This window comes from Homo sapiens, chromosome 18, assembly GCF_000001405.40.
Source record: "Homo sapiens chromosome 18, GRCh38.p14 Primary Assembly".
Lineage (NCBI taxonomy): Eukaryota > Metazoa > Chordata > Mammalia > Primates > Hominidae > Homo > Homo sapiens.
Window position 1 is genome coordinate 36,812,146 of NC_000018.10, and position 23,938 is coordinate 36,836,083.

Consider the following 23,938-nt stretch of genomic DNA (forward strand, 5'->3'; position numbering starts at 1 on the left):
CTATGATATTGTGAAATAAATATTTGGTCTCTGTCCCAGATTCCTGGCATACAATTTCTAAAATCCTTGGAATCTCCAAAGTGACATCTTTTTGTGTGCTAAAGAGTTGACAAATGACTGGCATCTCCAAGGTAGCTGCAGGATGGGGGATGATCACCAGAACAACCAAGGCAGGCAGTGGGTTGGAACTTTCAGCCCCACCCCCTGACCTCAGGGAGGGAAGAGGGGCTGAAGGGTAAGTTGATTATCAATGGCCCATGGTTTAATCAATCATGTCTACATAATGAAGCCTCCATAAAAACCCAAAAGACAGAGTTTGAAGAGCTTCCGGACAGCTGAGCACATGGAAGTTCCTGTAGTGTGGCGTGCTCTCGGATGGCAGGGAAGTTCCACGCCCCTCCCACCACACCTTGCTCTGTGCATCTCTTCATCTGTATCCTTTGTAATAAACCTGTAAATGTTAAGTAAGTGTTCCTCTGAGTTCTGTGAGCCACTCTAGCAAATTAATTGAACCTGAGGAGGGGGTCATGGGAACCCCAATTTATAGCTGGTGGGTCAGAAGCACAGGTAAAACAACCTGGGACTTGCAATTGGCATTGGAAGTGAGGGCAGTCTTGTGAGACTGAGCCCTTAACCTATGGGATCTGATGCTATCTCCAGGGAGACAGTGTCGGAACTGAATTGGAGGACACCCAGCTGGTATTCACTGCAGAACTGATAGCTTGTTGATGTGTTTGGGAACTCCCCCTTGCAACACACACACATTTGGTCATGGAAATTTTCTGTGTTGATTGTTGCGGAGTAACAGGAGAGGAAAAACAGTGTGTGTTTTTTCTACTCAGAGGCACCATAAAGAAAAAGGACAAAATAATTACAGAGATAACGGCTTAACATTGTCAGGACTGATGAACCAACTGCAACTGTCTACCTCAGGACTTGATACATGAAAAATATTAATTCCTATTTGCTTAAGCTATTGCTAGTTTATCTTTCCTTAAGCCAAACATATTCCTAATTTAAATAGAGATAAATGTTTAATAGGTAAGTGTTGTGGAGCTGAAGGGGCAAAGAGAACTAGGAGGGAAGAGTCTGCGAGGAAGGAAAAGATCAAGAGAGTTCTGCTTCTGCATCCAAGGGAGGAGAGGCTAGCAGAGAAGGGAGTGGCTAACTGTGGGGCATGCAGGAGCCACACCAAGTGAGATGAAGTAAGTCTTTAGCCATGAAGAGGTCCTAGTGATTTTGACAGAATGGTATCCAAGAATGGTGATGGCTAAAGAGAGGCTGTGGCAGGATGAATAACTGAGAAATGAAGGAAGGATGGTAATTTGTAAACTATGGCCACTGGATCCACCCTGTCACCTGTTTTTGTAAAAATGTTTCATTTGAACACAGTCACACACATGCATTTCAGTACTTTTGATGGCTGCTTTCACAGCTACAATGGCAGAAATGAGTAGTTGTGACAGAGACTGTAACGCCAGAGCATAAACTATCTGGTCCTCTAACGAAAACATTTCCCAACCCCTGGTGTAGACAACTTTTCTACACACTTGGCATGAAAAGCAACAAATAGCTAAATAGCTAGAAGGAGATATACGTTGAAGGTTTTTTGTTTTTAATTTTAAAGAGATGGGAAGCCCCTATGGGGAAGCTGCCAGGAGAAAGAAGTGAAGTGCTAGAGAGAAGGGTTGACTGGTGGAGAACACAGAGAATCTCCCAGGCAGAGTAAGAGCATGAAGTGAGGGGGTCACTAGTCACATGGTGTCGCAGGATGATTTCTTCTACTGGAAATGCTTATCATAAATTCACAGTGGGGCGTGTAACAAACAGATCTTCAAGAAGGTTCAGAACCCACTCTGTAGACTGTAGAAAAACTGAGTCTGAAAAAAAAGGAGATATTCTGCCAAATCATTTGGTTTCTGTGGGCCATGGTTTCACCATCAGTAAACTGAATTTTTATCTGGGGATTGGAGGGTGTAACCAATCAAGAATTGTAAAGCCGTCTGCAACTATGAAATGTCACTGAAATGCTTAATAATAACATAACTCTTCTGGCACCAGGATGTTATGAGAACTAAGAGGCAGATGCTTTCCTGGTGCTTGAAAGATGAAAAGCTCAGTGTAGACACTGGGCCTTACTATGGACCATCATGACAAAAGGCAGGTAGCAGGCACAATGAACATGAATCATACAACTGCACAGAGGCAGACAAACTGAAATTGTGTATTTAAGAAGAAAAAATGGTCAAATATATAAACATGGAAAAAGGTTGTTCATATTTCCCTCCAACCTCAGGGGACTGAAGCAGGTATATGATCATTTAGGTTTCGGTTGTCAATCTTTCTTCCTGGATTTGCAGTATAGAATCACAAAAGACTAGATTACACCTGGACGAGTCCTTCAATAACACTGATTTCAAATTACTTATTTTATACATGATGAACATGAGATCCAGAGAAGTTACATTACTTAGCCAAGGGTCCAGAGCTGGCATAAGACTTCTACTCCAGTGTGTTTTTCCCACATCAAAATGCTTCCATATCCTTACTAGTATAACATATCTCAGTGAGCTTCCCAGAGGAAGCTCTGGAAATAGCTTCCACTTTATTCCGATGTTGCTTTGGAATAAAGTGATTTCTGAGGCATATTCTTCCTTATGTCTTGTACCATACAGTCCTTAGAGCTCTTTAAGGAGAAGACTTTACCCATTTATCCCAGTTTTACTTATACTGTAGTTTCTTCATTTGGAGCTGCCTTCCATAGCTGAGTTTCAGGGATAGAGTCTGCAGGGGATCTCTATTTGGAAGCTATTCCAAAGCTCTGGATATATTTGGGCAAATATAGCCCAAAAGGGCAAAGGGCCCCTTCTTAGGGGCCTTATCTGAATGTATTTATGCAGCTGTGATCACCAGGTACACCAGATGGAGGCTGGGCTCTAAATGAGGTGTCTCCAAGGAGACAGGCCTCTAGGGTCAGTTCTCTAGAGAAGTAGGAATTATCAGCCCCTTGGGATCCTCCTGCTTCTCTGGTACAGGCATTTCTGGAAGCAGGCACACAGCAGGGGTGGCTTATCAAGCCTGCTCCTGTGTCAACATGCTCTTCAGTAACCTCTAGGGTGAGAAAGTGAGACAAGCGAGTTACAGAGCAGTCCAAAACTTCTACCCTCCACTGCTTAGGAGACAAAAGTAGGTAAGAAAATAGCATGTTGAGTATTGCCCCATTTTGAATGAAAAAATTATACAAAAACCTGTTTTAAACTTTTTGGGGTTATGAGTCCCTTTGAGAATCTGAAAAAGCCTTTTCCCCCACCTCCCAAAAAAAACATATCTGACATACACTTCAAGGAGTCCACGGACAACTTCCCATTCATGGACTTGTAAGGGATCCCAATGCCTACCCTCCACCCACACACATAACCAAAAATACACCAGCTGTGGTTATGTCTAGGTAGGAAAATCCTAGGAGACTTTTTTTTTGTATTTTCAATACACCTTTTTGACTGTTTTGTTTAGCATAATCAGAAAAAAAGTGTTACATAAAAATGGAATCTTAAAACAAAAGGTACACACCCCAAAGGCTATCTTATCTTCCAAGCATCCCAGGCCTTTACAAGCCCCGACATGCCAAACTCAGGTGAAAGAAACATTTTTATATTACTGATCCTAATACTGTTAGTATCTTATTTTTAAAATTTTTATTACTTACTTATTTTTTAAGAGACAGGGGTTGAGGAGTTGTCTCATTATGTTGTCCAGGCTGTTCTTGAACTCCTGGCCTCAAGCAATCCTCCCACTTTGGCCTCTCAAGTAGCTGGGACTACTGGTGTGCACGACCACACCTTGTTTGTTTGTATATTAGATTTGGCATATTTGAACTTAGATCTGAGATATTTTAACTAAAGAACTCAAAGGAAAATTCCAAATCTACGTATCTGATTATTTTAGGTACCTTCACAAGTATTCTCCCAAATGAATATGTCTGAAGAAAATGTTCCATTAATTGTCTCAGTTAGTTAAAAATCTCTTTCTCTCATGCTTACCCCTTAATCCTTTTAGACCTCTGATGGCTATTTATCTAGCACTACAACTGCATTTCCCTAAGTGTCAGTCTAAGCTAAAAGGGAACCTAATAAAGTTGCATTGTCCAGGAGGCAGATTAGATCCCAAGAGATCCCCTGCAGACTCTATCCCTGAAACTCAGCTATGGAAGGCAGCTCCAAATGAAGAAACTACAGTATAAGTAAAACTGGGATAAATGGGTAAAGTCTTCTCCTTAAAGAGCTCTAAGGACTGTATGGTACAAGACACAAGGAAGAATATGCCTCAGAAATCACTTTATTCCAAAGCAACATAATAGTGTTCCACCCTAGACAAGGCATTCCTGTCCTCTCACCTTCCAATCCAGGTCCTCAGCAGACAGGAAAACACGAGGATCTGACTCTCACAAAAGAGCCCTGAGGCAGTTCTTTTTTTTGGGGGTGGGGACAGAGTCTTGCTCTGTTGCCCAGGCTGGAGTGCAGTTGTGCGATCTCAGTTCACTACAACCTCCGCCTCCCAGGTTCAAGCGATTCTTCTGCCTCAACCTCCCAAGTAGCTGGGACTACAGGCGTGCACCATCACGCCCGGCTAATTTTTGTATTTTTAGTAGAGACGGGGTTTCACCATATTGGCCAGGCTGGTCTCGAACTCCTGACCTCGTGATCTGCCTGCCTCGGCTTCCTGAAGTGCTGGGATTACAGGCATGAGCCACCACGCCAGCCTGGCAGTTCTACTAATACCTAAAGGGCTGACCTAAGCCCAAAAAGAATCAAGAGAAATGTCCTCCATCATATCTTTTCTGTTACTGTTATTCATAACAAACAAAACAACATCAATGAGGCCAGACTGGCATAGTCACAGAAGTACCAGGAACAGGTGTTGACAGGATCAGCCAATAAGAGTTTCATAGCCACTGTTCTGGAATTTTCTTTTCCTATGATGGGCTATGAGTGGAAATGGAGGTGGGGGCTGAGTGAGAAGAGTTGGGATGCTGCTGAGCTGAGGTCCTGGATCAACTCCCAGTTACTGAGCTGCCAGAAAAGCTGCTGCTGGCTCAGCCCAGGGAGGGGAGTCAGGCTGGCAGGACTGCTTGCCTGCTGAGGGCAAGACTCCCATGGTGTTGTCCTCTGTCAGAGGGGCACGCTGGTAGAGCAGAAAGGACATGTTCTTAGAGGCAGGCAACTGTAAGTTCAAATTGAGGCTCTGCCACTTGGTAGCTATGTGACTCAGAACAAATTTTTCTTTCTTTCTTTTTTTTTTTTTTTTAAATGAAACAAGGTCTTGCCCTGTTGCTCAGGCTAGAGTGCAGCGGTGTGATCATAGCTCACTGCAGCCTCAACCTCCTGGGGTCACAGGATCCTCCCACCCCAGCCTCCCCAATAGCTGGGAGGACAGGTGTGTGCTACCATACCTGGCTAATTAACATTATTGTTTTGTAGAGCTGGAGTATTGCCATGTTGTCCAGGCTTGTCTTGAACTCCTGGCCTCAAGCAATCCTCTGCCCTGGCCTTCCAAAACACTGAGATTACAAGCATGAGCCACTGTGCCGGCCAAATTCTTTAAACTCTTTCAGCCTCTGTTTCTTCATCTATAAAATGGAGATACCAATACCCACCTTGCAGGGTTATTATTCATTTAGTATGGAATGACTTATGGGGTAAGTGTTAGCAGGTATTTATTAAATGGTAGGGCAATTTGTTGCCACTTGCCCCAGTCAAATCCATTTGTTACTCTACAGCCACAGTGGTCCTTTCAAGTATAAATCTAACTTCAAAGTTCCCTACTTAAAACATTTCAATGACTCCCCTTTGCTTCCAGGATAAGGAGTAAACTGCTGAAGACCTATGAAGCCCTAAATGTCCTGGTCCTTGCTGAGCTCTCTCTACCTTGCTCTCCTGTGCTCCTTCTTTGTGATCTCAGAACAATGTAATCCTTCCCATCTTGAAGCTTTCATAGAGGCTGAAAGTCCCATCTTCCTAGATCCCATCTACCTGGTTAACAATTTCTTATTGCTTCTTTGGGAAAACTTTTCTCAACCTCTAGACTAGGGCAGGTCTCCAGACAATGCTCCCTTTACCTCTCTTTCACAGTACTCAGGCCAGTTAGTAATTACATTCATAACAATCTATACTATGTCTTAGGCAGTAAGATCAAGAGGCAAAAACAGTGCCTTTTAAAAAATTACCATTTAATCTGGGAGACAGAGCAAGACTCTGTCTCAAAAAAAAAAAAAAAATATTACCATTTAATCCCCAGGGCTCAACACCAAGCACAATGTCTGGCCCACTGTAGAAGCTTAAAACTTTTATTGAATAAACGAATTGAAGTTCAGAGGAAAGTTGGAAAGCATTAGCTTTTAATCTGCTTAGTAGTTATGTGCAACACTTAATCATGTTCTGGACAGCATGACACTTATTAACACATATCCTTTCTTTTCCTTAATTGATTTTTAGCTTTGTTGTACACAACTTTGAATGTCCACTGCTTCTGTAGGAGAGTGGGGCTCAGGGGAAACACTCCATGCTGGGTAAGTGGCATAGAATGAAAGGAACTGTTAAGTGGGCTGAACAGGAACATAGAAAAGGTAAACTCTACCTTGAAAGCAGCTGTGGTCTGAGTAAATATTCTTCCTCCCCTAATCTTTCCTTCTCAGGGACATTTACACTGACCTCTCTTTGATGGGAGGTAGAGTTCATGTGGCAACACTTACTTGTTCCCAGGAAGAAATCATATGACGTTCAGCAGGAGGCTTTTCTATGATGGTCACCTCAGTCACACCTGGGGAAGATTCTGGAAGAGAAAAAAGAGTCTGTAGAGTTGCAATTGGTCCGCTGTCATACATTTCTACGCTAGTTGTTGACTAACTGTTGATGACTGCTCTTAAGAACATCCAATCCTTCTCATGAACACTTATTACCCCTGTAATGAAAGCAGAGAACTGGTTGGCCTCTGAAAGGCATGGTCCCATAACCTAGGACAATGTAGTCTACCTGATAGAAAGGATATCCACAGACTGTGCTCTATACTGTCATTGCTCAGTCATTAATCTTATTGAACAAAAAACAGAGATTGTAGATTCCTAATGATTTCACACAGAAATTCTCAGTGAGCTAAATCTATATACTCAGGATAAAGTGAAAAGAAATAAAGAATAGCAACCCATTAACTTTTATAAGACATAAAACTTGCTTATTAACTTTTCTTCTAAATAAAACTCATCTTGAACATAACCTTCTACTCTGTGAGGTCTAGGATTTCAAAGCTGGGTTAACATAAAAAATGGATTCCATCCAAAAATATACTAAGAAAAAAGTTAAGTCATATTTCTAAATCCTTGAAGCGGGAAAAGGTCTCCAAATAATCTGGTCTGCTTCTCTTTGTGGAGCTGTGTTCTATCATTCACTCTGAGGGAGAGCAGAAGCCACCTGGGAATACTACAGAGTTCAATACCTCCTCCAACATTCTCCACTTGTCTGTGGCCATGCAGACTCAAGATTCTGAAGTCCTTAATCCAAGACTTAAAATTTGTCATAAAAGCTGTTATGACTTGAATTCTGTCCCCACCCCCACAAAAATAGATATTGAAGTCCTAACCCCCAGTACCTCAGAATATGACCTTATTTGGGAATAGAGTTACTGCAGACATAATTAGTTTAGATGAGGTCATACTGAAGTAGAGTAGATCCCTAGTCCAATGATTGGTGCCCTCCTCATAAAAAGAACAACATGTAGCCAGGTATGGCAGTGCATACATGTTGTCCCCACTACTTGGGAGGCTGACACAGGAGGGTAGCTTCAGTTTTTAAAATCTCTAGGAATATGGCAGAAACTTCTAATCATTTTATGTGGTTCACTGATCCTATAATTAAGCCAGTGTCCTTTTTATGCATTATAAAATTTCCTCCAAGTTGCCAGAAACTCAAATCTTGGGATGCAGCAATAGCCCAATATAGGAACTAAGAATTCTAGACTCTACCTATTCTAGTCTTGCTTTATACATTTACTAGTTGTATGACCTTAGATGGGTCTTCACTTCCCTTTACCTTCAGTAAGTAAAAATAGACCTTGGGTTTGAAAGAGGACACATACAATTATTTACTGTTTATAACAGGCCTCCATGGAAGGGTTATAGGTTCAGACAAAACTACTGTGATGCTACTGCAGATGTGGTCATGTCATACTTAAGCTTGGAATACTCCCATGGCAAGGTAATTGGCCAACATGTTGACTTTAATAACTTTCAGATAGTAAGTTGCTTAGGAAGTATCCATTGTAGAGACTCCTATATCCGACACAGTACTTCAGAATTGGTGAGGAGGTGGTGTTGGGGATATGGAAGAGAAGGGCATGCAATAAATTCCATTTGTATAATTCTCTGTTACAGGAAATGGGCATAAATTATCCTATTTAATCTTTCAACAATCTTGTAAAGCAGGTATCCTTACCCTCGTTTTAAGGATAAGGAAACCGAGGTTCAAAGATGTTAAGTAATTCATAAAATGAAATCTCTGACCAAAGCTGTGGACACCAAACCTAATGCTGTTTTTATCATGTTGTCTTAGTAGCCTATCATTTTGGTGAGATAACTAAAAACATTTTGCGGATGTTTGGAAAGCAATAGAAATTATACATTGTTCTTGGCCTATCAAGATGCCATATATGAGAAGCAATATCTGAATAGGCATAGCCATTCTCCCTGTCCTGCCTTTGTGACCAATGACAAGCATTTGTCAGCCACCTGGCTGGAATAACCTGCATGGCAGAGTAAGAGAGATGAAACTCACATCTTTAGATATGCCGTGGATTAAAACTCTCTGTGGTAGCTTACTCCAAAGGTGGGTGCTGTCAATTCCTTCCTTCCCTGCATGCCCATAGCACTTCTCATTGAGAGGTGAGTCTATTTCTCCAACTTCTTGAGTTTGGAGTTGGCCTGTGAGTGCCTTGCCCTATAAAATATTGTGAAAAAATGGTGTACCAGTTTTGGACTTAAAATTTAAGAGAACTGGCAGTCTCTCTTTGCCTTTCTTTGATTCCTGAGCCATCACATACTAAATCCAAGCTACTCTTTTGGAGAGAGAGGGCATACTGAGAAGTACTGAGGGGGGCAGACATTAGCGTGTAGAAGCCATTTGATGATTCCAGTCCCAGCTGCTATCTAACTGCGACCACTTGAGAGACCCCAAATGAGAACTACCCCAGCTGGTCCAGTCAATCCACAGAACTGGGAGAGACAGTTAATTGTTGTTTCAAGCAAACTATGTTTTGAGATGATTTGTTATCCAGTGATTGATAACTGGAATATATTTTCTAGTGAAAAACAGTCTCTCTGAGGTATTTAATGAGGACCTGCTATGTCCTAAGCTTTGGGAAATTAATGCTAGAGATTAGGAATTTAAGTAGGAGACACTGTTTCAAGAAACTTATTGCTTAGTTAGATATATAAGACAAACATGAAACAAAAGTGAAAACTCAAGATAATATGTAATTATGTGTTAAACTAGGTGACATTGACTGTCAGAGCCACAGGAGTTGAAGGCAGAGGGAGGTTGACAAAGACTGAGTGAGTGATAGAAAACATCAGAAACTGCACACAGCTGATCTGGGCCTTGAAGGATGATGTGGCAGTTACTGCAGACTGGCTCAATTAACACCTCCTCCTGTTCCCCGCTGGCGTGCTTTCCTTTATTTTAGACTGGTTAGCTAAAGACCTCATTTCCTACATTCCAGTGCAGTTAGACTCCCTCTGGTGACTGGGATGCCTGCATGGAAACATACTTTCATAAAGCCTGGAAGAAGGGAATCAGCAGATGAGGAGAGAACAAATGGGGAGACCAGGTCTTCTCGCATAGTTTCACAGGTGTTTTGGTCTCAGAGGGCTGGAAGTTGTAGTGGTGGCGGCAGCAGCAAAAGCAGTAACAATTTTTGATTCCACAGCTATCCTTCTAGGAGGCTGAAATTTTGAGAGCTGTGACTGGTTGTTTTGCCAACGTGACCAGCATTCAATAAACCCCTGGAAGTTGAGGCTTAAATAGGCTTTCCGGGGAAGAAACACTGCAAATATATTGTTGAATTTCACTATTTAAGGAAGAAGTGTATTCTATGTGACCACTGACAAGAGGGAACACTTCAGAAGCCTGTGCATGGATTCCTCTAGATTCTAACTATGTCTTTTCCCCCTGCTAATCAGTGTAATAAATTATACTTGGGACTAAAACTGTTTCTGAGTCCTGTGAGTCCTTGCAGTGGATCTGGTGGATCTAAAAGTGTGGGTGGTTGTGGGATCCCAGAAACATGCATCCATCTTTTTATATTTAACATTTGATTTAGTTTGATTTAGGTATGTTTTTGAAAATAGCAAATAACGGTTTTGTGAGTCAGGTTTAAATCTTTTTCTATTAATAGGTGACATAAACCTATGTGTATATACTTAAGAGACAGGGTCTTGCTGTCACCCAGGCTGGAGTGCAGTGGTGTAATCATAGCTCACTTCAGCCTCGAACTTCTGGGCTCAAGTGATCCTCCCATCTTAGCCTCCCAAGTAGCTGGGACTACAGGTGCACACCACCACACTGGACTAATTAAAAAATTTTTTTTTGTAGAGACAGGGGTCTCACTATGTTGCCCAGGCTTGTCTTGAACTCCTGGCCTCAAGTGATTTTCCCACCATGGCCTCCCAAAGCACTGTGATTACAGGCATGAGCCGCAGTGCCCAGCCATGACCATTTATATTTATGTTATGACAGTTATGTTTGGTCTAAACTCTATAATAATAGTCCATAATTACATGTGCTATATTACACTTGTGTTTCTTTTTGACGTGCATAGCATTTGCTCTTTTCTTTCAAACATTTGGGGGAATGTTTTATATTGCTGAGTAATAAATTACCATGAATTAGCAGCTTTAAACAACACCCTTTTATTAAGTCATGGTTCTGTAGCTCACAAGCCTGGCACGGCATGACTGGCTTCTCTACTTAGGCTGAAATCACTGGTCTTTCCTTACACCAGGTGTGCTGATAGGTATTTTAGCTGTTCTATTTTCATCTGGAGCTTGGGGTCATCTTGGAAACTCATTCCTGTTACTGACAGAATTCAATTCCTTTTGGTTGCAGGACTGAAGCTTCCATTTCCTTGCTTGCTGTCAGCTGGGGCCACTCTCGGCTTGCAGAGGCCACCTACATTCCTTGTTAAAAGGTCCCATGCATCTTCAAGTCAGCAACAGCGTAACAGATTCTTTTCCTACCTCAAATCTCTCTGACTTCCTTGTTAACAGCTTGTTTTTTTTTTTTTTTTTTGAGACGGAGTCTCGCTCTGTCGCCCAGGCTGGAGTGCAGTGGCGCGATCTCGGCTCACTGCAAGCTCCGCCTCCCGGGTTCACGCCATTCTCCTGCCTCAGCCTCCCGAGTAGCTGGGACTACAGGCGCCCGCTACCACGCCCGGCTAATTTTTTGTATTTTTAGTAGAGACGGGGCTTCACCGTGTTAGCCAGGATGGTCTCGATCTCCTGACCTCGTGATCTGCCCGCCTCGGCCTCCCAAAGTGCTGGGATTACAGGCGTGAGCCACCGCGCCCGGCCAACAGCTTGTTTTAAAGGGCTTATGTGATTAGATTGGGCCTACCTGGATAATCTTGCTTTTGCCATTTAATGTAACATAATCAAGGTGTGGTATCTCATCATCTTCACAGTCCTGTGGATTAGAGTAGGAATTCTAATAGTACCGTGTTTAGAATTCCTTTTTAAAAATAGCTTTACTGAGACATAATTCGCATACCATAATTTATAAAGTGATTTTTATATTCAGAGTTATGCATCCTTTCCCCCAAAAGAAACCCATACCTATTATATTAGCAGTCCCCTCTCCTACCAGCCTCTGGCAACCACTAATCTACTTTCAGTTTCTATAGATTGGTCTCTTCTGGACATTTCATATAAATGGAATCATACATGTGGCTTTTGCAACTGGCTTCTCTCACTTTCATTTCAAGATCATCCATGTTGTAGGATCAGTACTTCACTCCTTTTTATGGATGAATTTTTTTGTTATATGGATATATCACATTTTATATATCACGTTCATCAACTGATGGATGTTGGCTTGTTTGCACTTTTGACAATTATGAATAATGCAGCTATGAACATTTGTATGCAAGTGTTTTCATGTAAATATCTTTTCATTTCTCTTGGAGAAATGAAATCCAGAAAGGGAATCCAGAAATGGAATTGCTGGGCCATACAGTAACTCCAATCTTTTGAGGAAGTGCCAGACTAGTTTTCAAAGCTGCCGTACCATTTTACATTTTACATCCCCACCAGCAGTGTATGATATCTTCATATCCTCACCAACAATTGCTGTATCTGTCTTTTTGACTATAGCCATCCTAGTGGGTGTGAAGTGAAATCTCATTATGGTTTTGATTTGTATTTCCCTAATGGCTAATGGTGATAATCATCTTTATGTGTGCTCACTGGCCATTTGTGTATCTCTGGAGAAATGTCTACCCTGATCCTTTAAAATTGAATTATTTGTCTTTTTTTGAGTTGTAAGAGTTCTTTGCAGATCTGTAAGTTCCTTTTCATATATATGATTTACAAATATCCTCTCCTATTTTTTGGATTGTTTTGTCACTTTCTTGACTATATCCTTAAAAGCACAAACATTTTAAATTTTGATTAAACCCAATTTATCTATTTTTCTTTTGTTGCTTATGCTTTTGTGATATGTAAGAATCCAGTGCCTAACTCAATGTCACTTAAAAAAGGAACCTAAGGCCTGTTTTCTTCCAAGAGTCTTATGGTTTTGGCTCTTACATTTAGGTCTAAGATACTTTTGGAGTTAATTTTTGTATATAATTTGAGGTAGAGGTCCAATTTCATTATTTTACATGTGGAAATCCAGAACCATTTGTTGAAAAACTATTTTTTCCCATTGAGAAGTCTTAACATATTTGTCAAAAATCAATGAATCAGGCCGGGCACGGTGGCTCACACCTGTAATCCCAGCACTTTGGGAGGCCGAGGCAGGTGGATCATGAGGTCAGGAGATCGAGACCATCCTGGCTAACATGGTGAAACCCTGTCTCTACTAAAAATACAAAAAATTAGCCAGGCGTGGTGGTGGGCGCCTGGAGTCCCAGCTGCCCGGGAGGATGAGGCAGGAGAATGGCTAGAACCCGGGAGGCGGAGCTTGCAGCGAGTGAAGAGCACACCACTGCACTCCAGCCTGGGCGACAGAGCGAGACTCCGTCTCCAAAAAAAAAAAAAAAAAAAAAATCAATGAATCATAAATATGATGTTTATTTTTGGACTCTCAATCTTATTTCATTGATCTACATTTCTAGTTTTATGCCACTACCACTCTGAAGACAACTGTGGCTTTAAATTTTTTAAATTGTATTAAAATACACATAACATAAAATCATCATTTTAGTCAATTTTAAGTGTACAGTTAAGTGGCATAAAGTACATTCACACTGTTGTACAACCATCACCAGAACTTTTCCATCATCTCAAATATAGTATAGGGAAATGTGAGTAAGAGGAACTTTTTTCCTGTTTTGGAAAGAAAAGTTTATCTTGGCTACTCTGGGTCTCTTGCATTTCTATATTATATTTTAGGATTAAATTAGCTTCCTGATTTCTACAAAAGAGACAGTTGAGATTTTGATGGGAACTGGAGATGTGAGATTTGTAGATCAATTTGGGGAGTAACAGATTTTAACAATATTAACTCTTCCAATCCATAAACATGGTATGTCTTCTCATTTATTTTGGTCTTCTTTAATTTCTTTCCACAGTCTTATGTAATTTTCAGTACATAAGTCATGGACATCTTGTGTTAATTTATTCCTATTTTATTCTTTTATTTTTTTTGAGATAGGGTCTCACTCTTGTTGCCCGGGCTGGAGTGCTGTGGTGTGATCACAGGTCACTGTAGCCTCGAACTCCTGGGCTCAAGCAATCCTCCTATCTCAGCCTCCTGAGTAGCTAGGACTAAGGCATGCACCACCACACATGGCTAATTTTAAAATATTTCATAAAGGCTATGTTGCCCAGGCTGGTCTGCAACTCCTGGTCTCAAGCAATCCTCTCACCTTGGCCTCCCAGTGTTGGGATTACAGGTGTGAGCCACTGTGCCAGCTACATTTTATTCTTTTCAATACTATTGTAAATTGAATTGTTCTTAGTTTTATTTTTGGATTGTTCATTGCTGGTGTATAGGCTGTGTGTGTGTGTGTGTGTGTGTGTGTGTGTGTGTGTGGATTCCTTAGGATTTTTTATATACAAGATCATGTCATCTGCAAACAGATAGCTTACCTTCTTCCTTTTCAATTGGATGTCTTTATTTCATTTTCTTGCCTAATTGCCCTAGCTAGAAACTCCAGTACAATGTTGAAGAGAAGTGATAAAAGTGGAATTCTTGCCATGCAGAAAAGAGTGAACATAGCAGGCCCGAGACAATAATCCTCAGAAAGGTCTGCCAATCGGGCTGCCAAAATCCTTTTGTTGTAATGAATCATAGCCATGAGTAGGACTATCTCCTGAGTCCTGTAATCCTTGCGTCAAATCATTGAATCTGGTGTGATCTTGGGGAACCCTAATACAATTTTTGTTCCTGATTTTAAGGGGAAAGCTGCCAGTCTTTCACCATTACATATGATGTTAGATGTGGGTTTTTCATAGATGTCCTTCATCAGGTTGAGGAAATTCTATCTCTATCCCATCCTATTTCTAGTTTGTTGAGTTTTTTTTAATCAAGAAAGGTTAGATTTTGTCAAATGCTTTTTTTATTAAGATGATTATGCAGTTTTTGTCTTATTCTATTAGTAAGTTGTATTATATTAATTGATTTTTTTTAAGTTTCTTTTTTTTTAGTGACAGGGTCTTGCTATGTTGTCCAGCTGGACTTGAACTGGGCTCTAATAACCCTCCCACCACAGCCTCCCCAGTAGCTGGAACTAAAGACATGGGCCACCATGCCCAGCTATTAATTGATTTTCATATGTTAAAACCACTCATTCCTAAATCACACTTGGTCTTGGACTTCTATTAAAAGAGACACAAATTTTAAAAATCAACCAAACAAATACATAATTTCAAGTAGTGAAAGTGCTATAAGAATAAAAGAAAAAGCAGGGTAAGGAAAGAGAGAGCAAGAAAGACGGCGGTTATTCGAACTATATTCAGGGAAGGTTTCTCTGAAATAATGACATTTGATCAGAGATCTGAATGACCTGAAGAAGCGAGACATTCAGAGAAAGATAATTCCAGGTGCAAGGACTAGCAAACTGCAAAAGCCCTGAAGCAGGAACCCGCTTAGTGTGTTTAAGGTACAGCTAGAAGGCCATGTGGGCAAGAGTGGAAACAAAGTCAGAAAGAGATGAGAGCAGATCTTACAGGGACTTGTGGGTCATGGTACAGACATTTGGATTTTATTATAATTGTGATGGGAAGGCACTGAAGCATGCTTTTCAGCCTTCTTAAAAGACCTTTCTCCTCCTTAGTTTTCTGGCTAACTCCTATATGTCTTTCAAAATCTAGCATCATCTCCTCTGTGACATGTTCTTTAACTTCCCTGGTAAGATCAGTCCCCTCCTCTGTGACATCTCTGAGTAACAGATTACTGACCTCTTTTCACACTCCTAGTGACCTCATTTGTTTATTTTTTTCACAGAACTGTGTCTTTTTCATATTTTTAACCTCACGTCTAACATAGTGGTGAGTACTAAAGAAACGTTTGATAGGCCAGGCGCGGTGGCTCACGCCTGTAATTCCAGCACTTTGGGAGGTCGAGGCGGGTGGATCACCTGAGGTCAGGAGTTCGAGACCAGCCTGGCCAACATGGTGGAACCCTGTCTCTACTAAAAATACAAAAAAATAGCTGGGCGAGGCAGGAGAATTGCTTGAACCCAGGAGGCGCAGGTTGCAGTGAGCCGAGATCGCGCCATTGCACTCCAGCCTGGGCAACAAGAGCAAAACTCTGTCTCAAAATACAAACAAGCAAGCAAACAAAGAAATGTTCGATAAAAGAAAAACTCTGAGTCATTCAGTGGTGCAAGGTTGGATTCCTTTCAGACCCGACGTAGTTGTCGCCCTGGGAGGTCGGGTGCATTACTTCCCCCAGAGAAAGGTCTTGGGTTTCGGGGATAATGCCCTGGCTGAGAATGCCTCCTAGGGGGAGATCCAACTTCCCAACCGTCAGGTGCTTGCTGTGTTCCCTTTGCACGTCTCTGCCCGTCCTTCCTGGGTGGGACCTTGGTTGGCGGTGAGTGGGGGAAACTTCAGGCTTCCCAGCTCTGCCTCCGAACACTCCTGGCAAACACTTTCAAGGCCTAATCACAAACCCAGGTCCCCCACTTTCCTCTGTAACAACGGAAGTCCCAGCAGCGATGTCCACTCCTGTTCTGGGGCCAGCGTCGCACCGCTCACCCCGCACCTCATCCCTCCGCTCCTCCTTCCTTCTCCTCCACACCCTCTCGGCACCGTGCCCCCTTTCCTCACCTAGGATGCGCGTGATGCCCAGGGTCAGCTTCTCCAGGTGCGGCTTGCTGCAGCCCAGCCCCGGGGACGATGCCTCCTCCTCCATGGCTCGCGACCGCGATTCGCGCGCGGCGGGAGCGGGTGGAGGGCCGGACCCCGCCTCAGCGCCGAGGCCAATTTCATGGCATGCCGGGAACGGTAGTTCTCGGCGCCTGAAAGCGCGGCGCAGTGATGATGGGGGCCCGGGGTTGGTCTGACAGCAGCAGCTCCGTGGGGCGCCGGTTCCCGCGGCCCCGCCCGGTGCCCCACACCGCACCTCCGGGACGTAGCTTCCCCTTCGCCCCCACCCTCTCGCCCCGCAGGGGCCGGCCGCGCAGGCGGGGGCGGGCCTCTGCGTGGTGCGGCCAATGGGGACCGAGCCTGCAGGCCGAGGCGTGGCGGCCCAGGCGCGACGCCCCGAGTGGCGGTTGTTTCAAGATGGCGGACGTGGCGGGCCCCTCCCGCCCCAGTGCCGCGGCGTTCTGGAGCCGGGACTGTATCCTTTGCCCGCCTGACAGGGGGCGCCGGCGCCCTCCACGGGACGGCGAGGGGCGAGCCGTCGCGTGGCAGTCCGAGAGCGGAGGAGAAGCTCCGAACTAACCCCGGGGATGGGGACGTGCTGCTCGGCCCCAGTCTAGGTGCTGGGCTCTCCCCTTGCTTGGGTGTTAGGTGGCCGAGAGACTGGTACTGTCTGCAGGTGTGGGGACACGGCTCAGATGCTTCCCAGCGCTCACTACCGGTGAGCTCGAGAAAGATAGCCTTGAGTCCAGGCTCAGTCCAGGGCTGAGATGGCCCTCCGAGGTCCCTCTGCCCACCCTGTCAGAGTGCCCCCAGGCTGACTTGAGTGTGCGGAGCTAGCTCGAAGTTGAGGGAGGAGTCGGTGTTGGCTGGACAGGGAGCCTTTTTGTTTTGATTTAGGATTGTCTTTAGTCTGCATTGCTAGGAGCAAGTCAGGACCTTTCGGACTTAAAAGGCCCTCCAGTGATGATGTATTTTAATACTGGGGTTTTAGGAGAGGTGTGGAGCTTGGTTACTGGGATGTGGTCTGGTGGTGCTGGTTACTGCGTAAGATGGGAATCATTGTGCCTGGAAGTATTGTTGACTTACTTGTGGAGTGCGGGTCACTGGCAGTCATTGAAGTTCTTGGATCGTTGTGAGGTGGAGAAGCAGTGGAACTTTTTAGTCCAGTGGTAGTATTACCAGTTCAGCAGCAGTGATGAGATGTTTGTGTGACAGGAGTGTTTCTTTCCTTGGAGTAGGTAGACTCTTCTCGCTTGAGCTTTGGTCCTGATAATTTACTTCACGTTCCTTAGAGGGGTTACTTGAAAGAGGGACGGCAATCTGTGTTACTGAGTGCTTGCAGAGGCAGCTCTTTTTGTGTTTGCTAGGATTGGTGATGGCATTAATTGAGGCGTTGCTGTTACCTTTGGCAGAATCACTGGGCATTCTTCTTAGCTCCCAGTGAAACTTACAAAACTGTGTTATCAACTCCTTTGTTGAGTTACTAGGATTAGTGTCATGTGTAGAGAGAGGGATATGTTTGTATTCTGTGCTGCTCGTGTTTAGTGTTTGCACTTACTAGACATAATTACCATTTGTCTCTGATAGGTTGGTGAAAAGCAAATGAAATCATGTACATACACTGTGGATGAAAGCATACTAGTGCAGTGTGCAAATTAAATATTTTTTCCTTTACCTTTCAGAAGAGAATATGTGCACTGTGGACAACTGGGCTGAATTAGGAAGTTAGGAAATTGGGATAAGTCTTTTCTCAAGAAACACTGCTTCTGCATTGACATAATTTTGTGATGGAGGAGATACTTGAAGGTTATTAGCTTATAGCATCCTATGGTACTGTTCAAATATAGAATCAATGGTTTGGGGGGGGGACAAGCTATTGCAATGGGACTGAATAAGTGTATTAATAGATATATGGACTGAACCTAAGCTCTTGGTCTTCGCACCCAGTACTTTCACTTACTCATGTAGTTATATCACCCCCTATTTTATGTAGAAGTCATATATACTCCGTTATCTCTTGTATTCTGACTCCCAACATTTAATGTAAAATATTCGTCCTCTCATAGATAGTGAGGAATTGAAATTGTACAGGGGAAAAATGGTGGCGATTATATCCTATAAGATCTAATTCAGATGTATGAAAGGAATTGCAAAGTTGCTAGTGTCACCTTTCCCCTCAGACTATTCCACGTAATGACCAGTTAACATCGAGCCTCAGATATTTTCATTTTAAATCTCCATAGAGAATGTCACTGTAAGCAATGTCAAATGTAAATTTGTTACTGAATATTTGCTGAAAAGCATAATGATAGTTATTAATCATTTGATTTAGTTACATGTCTTTGCATCTTGATTCCTTTGTCATATTGATTATTTCCCAGACCACCCTAGAGCCTTTATAGTAGAATTTTCAATAGAAAAAGACCAAAAAGTAAGTACCTATAATCTGGTATTCTTTTCACACTATTGAAAAAAGATTTTCAATACTTCACCTAAACATTTAGAGAAATGTGATGGAGAGATTTCTTAGTCCTTGATGTTTCCATCATGAGAGGACAGATCATCTGTGACTCAATGGCACCTTTTTTTTTTATTGTTGTTGTTGTGAGTTATACATCTCCTGCACAGTATGATTCAGCAGTGCTGTTTTGCACAAGGAACGTTTTAGTACCTCATCTGTAAACAATGAGTGTGTGGTGTTGTCATGTTATGGGTTAAATCTTCCAGCAAAATATGCTCCTTCAGTTTAAGTTGCCTTTGTCCTTCATTACAGTTCCTAGTAATGTCAGAATGAGTTAGTGTTTCAGCAGTACCTAAATTTGACTGCTTAAATGCACTCAAGTGTATTACCATTAGCAATATCATGGACTTGATATTAAAAAATATGAACTGCAAGTGACCTGGTCAAAACATTGCAGTATAATCTCTGCTGTTGAGTTTTCAAATGGAAACAAAGACTGTATGTTGTGGTAAAAATAATATATTAGCCCAGAAAGTCTCTGTGGTTGATAATAATTACATATACATGTATTGCTGGCAAAACTCAGCAGATTAGAGTAGAATGGGCAGTACTGAACTTATTTCCTTCAAATCCTGGAGGTCTGGGATAGAGGTGCATCTTCCTCTCTACCACTTCTGCCTGGGTTTCTAATTACAGTTAGCCCTCTGTATCTGCTGATTCATTCAAATGTGGATGGAAAATATTTGAGAAAAAAAAGAAATAGCACACAAAAAAATACAAATTAAACTGTACAATTTAACTACTATTTATATAGCATGTACATTGTTTTAGGTATTATAAATAATCTAGAAATGACCCACTAGTAGGCCCACTATACATTTGGTATATAATGTGTCTGTTTGACTTCCCCATAAAATATACATTTGTTGGGAAATTCTAGATTTGAAGGAGGTAAATATTTGGGTTCTTAATATAATGAGATGAAAATACATTACAAATTATTAGAAAGGATAGAGGCAATTTCAAATATTGTTATTAAAAATATTGAAGTAGTTTGTTTAGAGTTTTATATATTTGAAAATAAATTTGTCATGGATGTAGCTGAAAGTAAAAGGTTTTGTTGGCCGCTTGCGGTGGCTCACACCTGTAATCCCAGCATTTTGGGAGGCCAAAGCAGGTGGATCACAAGGTCAGGAGTTCAAAACCAGTCTGGCCAACATGATGAAACGGCCGTCTCTACTAAAACTACAAAAAAAATTAGCCAGGTGTGGCGGCGGGCACCTGTAATCCCAGCTACTCGGGAGGCTGAGGCAGAGAATTGCTTGACCTAGGAGGTGGAGGTTGCAGTGAGCTGAGATCAAACCGCTGCACTCCAGCCTGGGTGGCAGAGCGAGACTCTGTCTCAAAAAAAAAAAAAAAAAAAAGTTTTGTTTGCATATTTAGAATCACAGAAATATAACATATAAGGTTGTTGGACAACACCTCATAAAATTAAATCAATACCAATTTTATTCTTTCATAGATGGAGCCAGACATTCTTTTATGTTTGAGGGTACAACACTGAACAAAATAAAACAAAAATCATTACCCTCTTGGTGCCTACATTTTAGTGAGATGAGATCAGGTCATGAATAAGGAAAATATATGTTCAATGATTTTTTTTTTTTTTTTTGAGTCAGAGTCTCGGTCTGTTGCCCAGGCTGGAGTGCAGTGGTGCCATCTCAGCTCACTGCAAGCTCCGCCTTCTGGGTTCACACCATTCTCCTGCCTCAACCTCTGGAGTAGCTGGGACTACAGGCACCCGCCACCATGCCCGGCTAATTTTTTTTTTTTACATTTTTAGTAGAGACAGGGTTTCACCGTGTTAGCCAGGATGATCTCGATTTTCTGACCTCGTGATATGCCCACCTCGGCCTCCCAAAGTGCTGGGATTACAGACGTGAGCCACTGCACCTGGCCTATGTTCAATGATATTGGTGCTGTGGAGAAAAAATAAAGCAGGAAAGAGGCAGATAGTAGCGGGAGGTAGGTAGGTTGTGGGAAGAGAGAGTTTTGCAATTTCAAGTACCTATATGGTTAGGAAGTGAAAGCTTCAATCAGAAGGTGACATGACATGACATATGACATAAGTCCTAAAGTGAGCCATGAAGATATTTGAGGAAAGAGCTTCCTGGGTAGAAGAAATCATACCTGCAGAAGCTATAAGGTAGGAGCTTGCATAGCTTGTTAACAATTATAAGAAAGCCAGGAATGAGTGAGAGGAATAGTAGCAAGTGAGATCAGAGATGTAACAAGTTACAGGGATCAGATCTTGAGCATTGCAGGCTGTTGTTAATACTTTGGCTTTTAATCTAAATTAGAAATGACATAACTATTAAAATGATCATTCTAACCACTGTGTGAAAAAATAGGCTGTTAAGGGAACATGCACAGAAGTGACAGAGAGCAGTTAGGAGCTTATTGCAATAATCCTGGGAGAGGAAAAGTTGAGTTGGATCAAGGTGACAGTTGAAAACAGTGTGTTATAATCATAGCCTTTCTAAATTTCTCCTTTTGAAATTCAAAATAGTTCTTTTTGTCTTAAATTTCTTCTACTTTTTAAATAGTAGGGCTTCTTGGGATATTTTATGAATACACTGTAGAAGAATAAATAATGTCTTTGTGTTTGCATGATTGACTTGCCCTCAGTGTTTGTTCTTCAAAGCTAAAGTCTATCTTGAAATTATTTACTCTTCAGAATTGTCAGTTCCTCAGTAATGACCAAACTGGAGCACTTAAGTTTTTGTTTACAAAAGGAAAGGAACCTAATAGTAGAGTATATATTGCAGGGTAACCCACTTGAGAGTGGATAAAAGTTTCATGGAACAAGACCTTCCAAGATTTTTATAAGATGTGTAGTTGTGAATATATAAAGGTGAACTTTTAGAGAATATTAATTTTGCTACATTTAATTCAATTACTTTGCTTTCTAACTTTGTTTTTAATTCAATTACTTTGCTTTCTAACTTTGTTTTTAAAAGTTAGTTACAAATTCCCAGGTCAAAAGAAATTATGAATTATAAGAGGTATACAGAACAGAAGCAGCATTTGGATGCCGGATAATATTATTGTATTTTCCTTCATGTTCTCCTGCGTAGTTTCTGATGAAGAACAATCAGTAGTATACGTTCCAGGTATGATTTTCTATGTTAAAATTTGGGAAGCTTACTTTGGTCCTTAAATGTTAGAAGAAAATAAAGCTATTAGAACAATGTTGCGGGTATAAATAACTGAATGCAGAGCAGTACATCAAAACCTAAAATTTGTTTTTTTTGAATATTTGTCATAACCCTATTAAGGTTTGAAATACTGGCTTATCTTTGGGATTGGCTGGCCCAATCAGCTTTTAATGAACTTGTAGAACACTTCATGTGGCAAGGGGCAAAAGATTCTTTTCTTATTTTTTCTTTTACAAATGATAGCCAAATTTAATATTTCAAATAAAAGTGTGACTACTGCTTGATACAGGGTATATGTAAGAGGCACTTCAAGTTTAATGGTTGTAACTAGATGGTAGTAAAGCAACTATTGAAGGCACCCTCATTATATAGGGTGAAAAATATCATTGATTTCCCCTAAGTTAACATATATTTGGCATATCGTAATTTATTGGTTTTAATGTGACTTATGAATATTTACAGTACCCTTTACAAATATTTCAGTTAAGCTGGATGTGGTTGCTTGATCCTGTAGTTCCAGCTACTCCAGAGGCTGAGGTGGGAGGATTGCTTGAGCCCAGGAGTTCAAGTCCAGCCTGGATAGACATAGGAAGACCCTGTCTCTTTAAAAAAATAAATATAAAAACAAATTTCAATTCAATCTTTAGTGTATTTCTTTAAAACATATTCTTTTTATGATTCATATATTAAGAGCTTTAAAATTAAGTTTATAAAGTAAGAGAGTTTCCTCCATCAGGTCCCTTAAAGTAGAGGATTCCAAGGAAGGAGTTGATGGGGGAGGGTTTAAGATAATAAGGTATAATTTTGAAATCTTGTTTAATGGAAATCCTTAGGAATTTCTGCTGAAGGAAATGTCAGATCAAGACACAAGCTGATGAGTCCAAAAGCTGATGTTAAACTTAAGACTTCCAGGGTGACTGATGCTTCAATCTCCATGGAGTCCTTAAAAGGCACAGGAGATTCAGTAGATGAACAGGTTAGTATTTTTTTCGTCTTTTTTTTTCCTTGCTCTCCAGTCTTTATGAGTGCTGACCAAAAAGGGTAGAAGAACCTTTGAAAGTATACTAGGTGATCAACAAACATTCTTAAAAGATACAGAGGATTCCAGGATCCTTTGATGATGCCAGGTTTGAGCCTAAATTATCTGGATTACTCAAGGGTTTTGCTCCAAAACATCTGACTTGCTGTAAGCATTAGCCATGATAATGTATTATCTTGATATGTCTCAAAAGAACTACATTCTGATCTGTGTGGCATTGGTAAATCAAACTGATGAGAATTGCTTTTTAATTAGGCATCCTTTTTGATTTTTATTCTTGTGAATTTATTTGATAGATGAACCCTCGTAAAGATGAGGGACAAATCAATGACTAGGCATAGTAATAGTATCGGTGCATTCCTTTGGCACATGTCCTATCTGACCAGTTTATTTTACTTTAATTTTTGTTATATTTTCCCTCTGCAACCAGAGTTGTTCAATACCACTTCACACTCACTAGGATGTCTACACAAAACTTGTATATGAATGTTCTGGAATCTATAACCTGTGGACCAAATCCTTCTGCCTGTTTTATAAATAAAGGTTTTTTGGAATACAGCTGTGCTCATTGTTTTACATAATTGTCTATGGTTGCTTTTGTGTTACAATAGCAGGGTTGCTACAGAGACTGCATGCCCACAAGC

At 41.4% G+C, this 23,938-nt stretch overlaps 2 protein-coding genes across 35 annotated transcripts in view, besides 3 other annotated features; one reads left to right on the forward strand and one right to left on the reverse strand.

Annotated features, from left to right (window-relative positions):
- Window positions 1–16,857, reverse strand: part of TPGS2 (tubulin polyglutamylase complex subunit 2) — a 48,979-nt gene extending 32,122 nt beyond the window's left edge. For 14 of the 16 annotated variants that reach the window (XR_007066143.1, XR_007066142.1, XM_017025702.3 and 11 more), the window contains exons 1-2: window positions 16,538–16,857; window positions 6,749–6,828 (exon numbers count right to left, since the gene is read on the reverse strand). Coding sequence is in view for 14 of the 16 variants with exons in the window: in XM_017025702.3 (XP_016881191.1) it covers window positions 6,749–6,828; window positions 16,538–16,622 (165 nt within the window). In the remaining 2 variants the exon portion in view is untranslated. Of the gene's footprint in view, window positions 1–6,748; window positions 6,829–11,657; window positions 11,727–16,537 lie in introns of all 16 variants that reach the window. The other 2 variants (XM_011525917.4, NM_001271952.2) reach the window with 1 other exon arrangement.
- Window positions 16,217–16,326: an enhancer, noted in NCBI's record as "active region_13243". NCBI's record gives its function as "activates an Ori minimal core promoter by ATAC-STARR-seq in GM12878 lymphoblastoid cells {active_cell/tissue: GM12878}" and the evidence as "EXISTENCE:reporter gene assay evidence [ECO:0000049][PMID:35858748]".
- Window positions 16,427–17,219: an enhancer, noted in NCBI's record as "H3K27ac hESC enhancer chr18:34408535-34409327 (GRCh37/hg19 assembly coordinates)". NCBI's record gives its function as "activates a minimal SCP1, AML or CMV promoter by ChIP-STARR-seq in naive H9 embryonic stem cells {active_cell/tissue: H9 hESC(naive)}" and the evidence as "EXISTENCE:reporter gene assay evidence [ECO:0000049][PMID:30033119]".
- Window positions 16,617–17,216: a silencer, noted in NCBI's record as "silent region_9406". NCBI's record gives its function as "represses an Ori minimal core promoter by ATAC-STARR-seq in GM12878 lymphoblastoid cells {active_cell/tissue: GM12878}" and the evidence as "EXISTENCE:reporter gene assay evidence [ECO:0000049][PMID:35858748]".
- The window catches only part of KIAA1328, a 403,046-nt gene continuing 396,089 nt past the window's right edge, over window positions 16,982–23,938 (forward strand). For 11 of the 19 annotated variants that reach the window (NR_136303.3, NR_136304.2, NR_136305.2 and 8 more), the window contains exons 1-3: window positions 16,982–17,051; window positions 22,175–22,210; window positions 23,089–23,231. Coding sequence is in view for 14 of the 19 variants with exons in the window: in XM_005258315.6 (XP_005258372.3) it covers window positions 16,994–17,051; window positions 22,175–22,210; window positions 23,089–23,231 (237 nt within the window). In the remaining 5 variants the exon portion in view is untranslated. The other 8 variants (XM_047437677.1, XM_047437679.1, XM_047437680.1 and 5 more) reach the window with 7 other exon arrangements.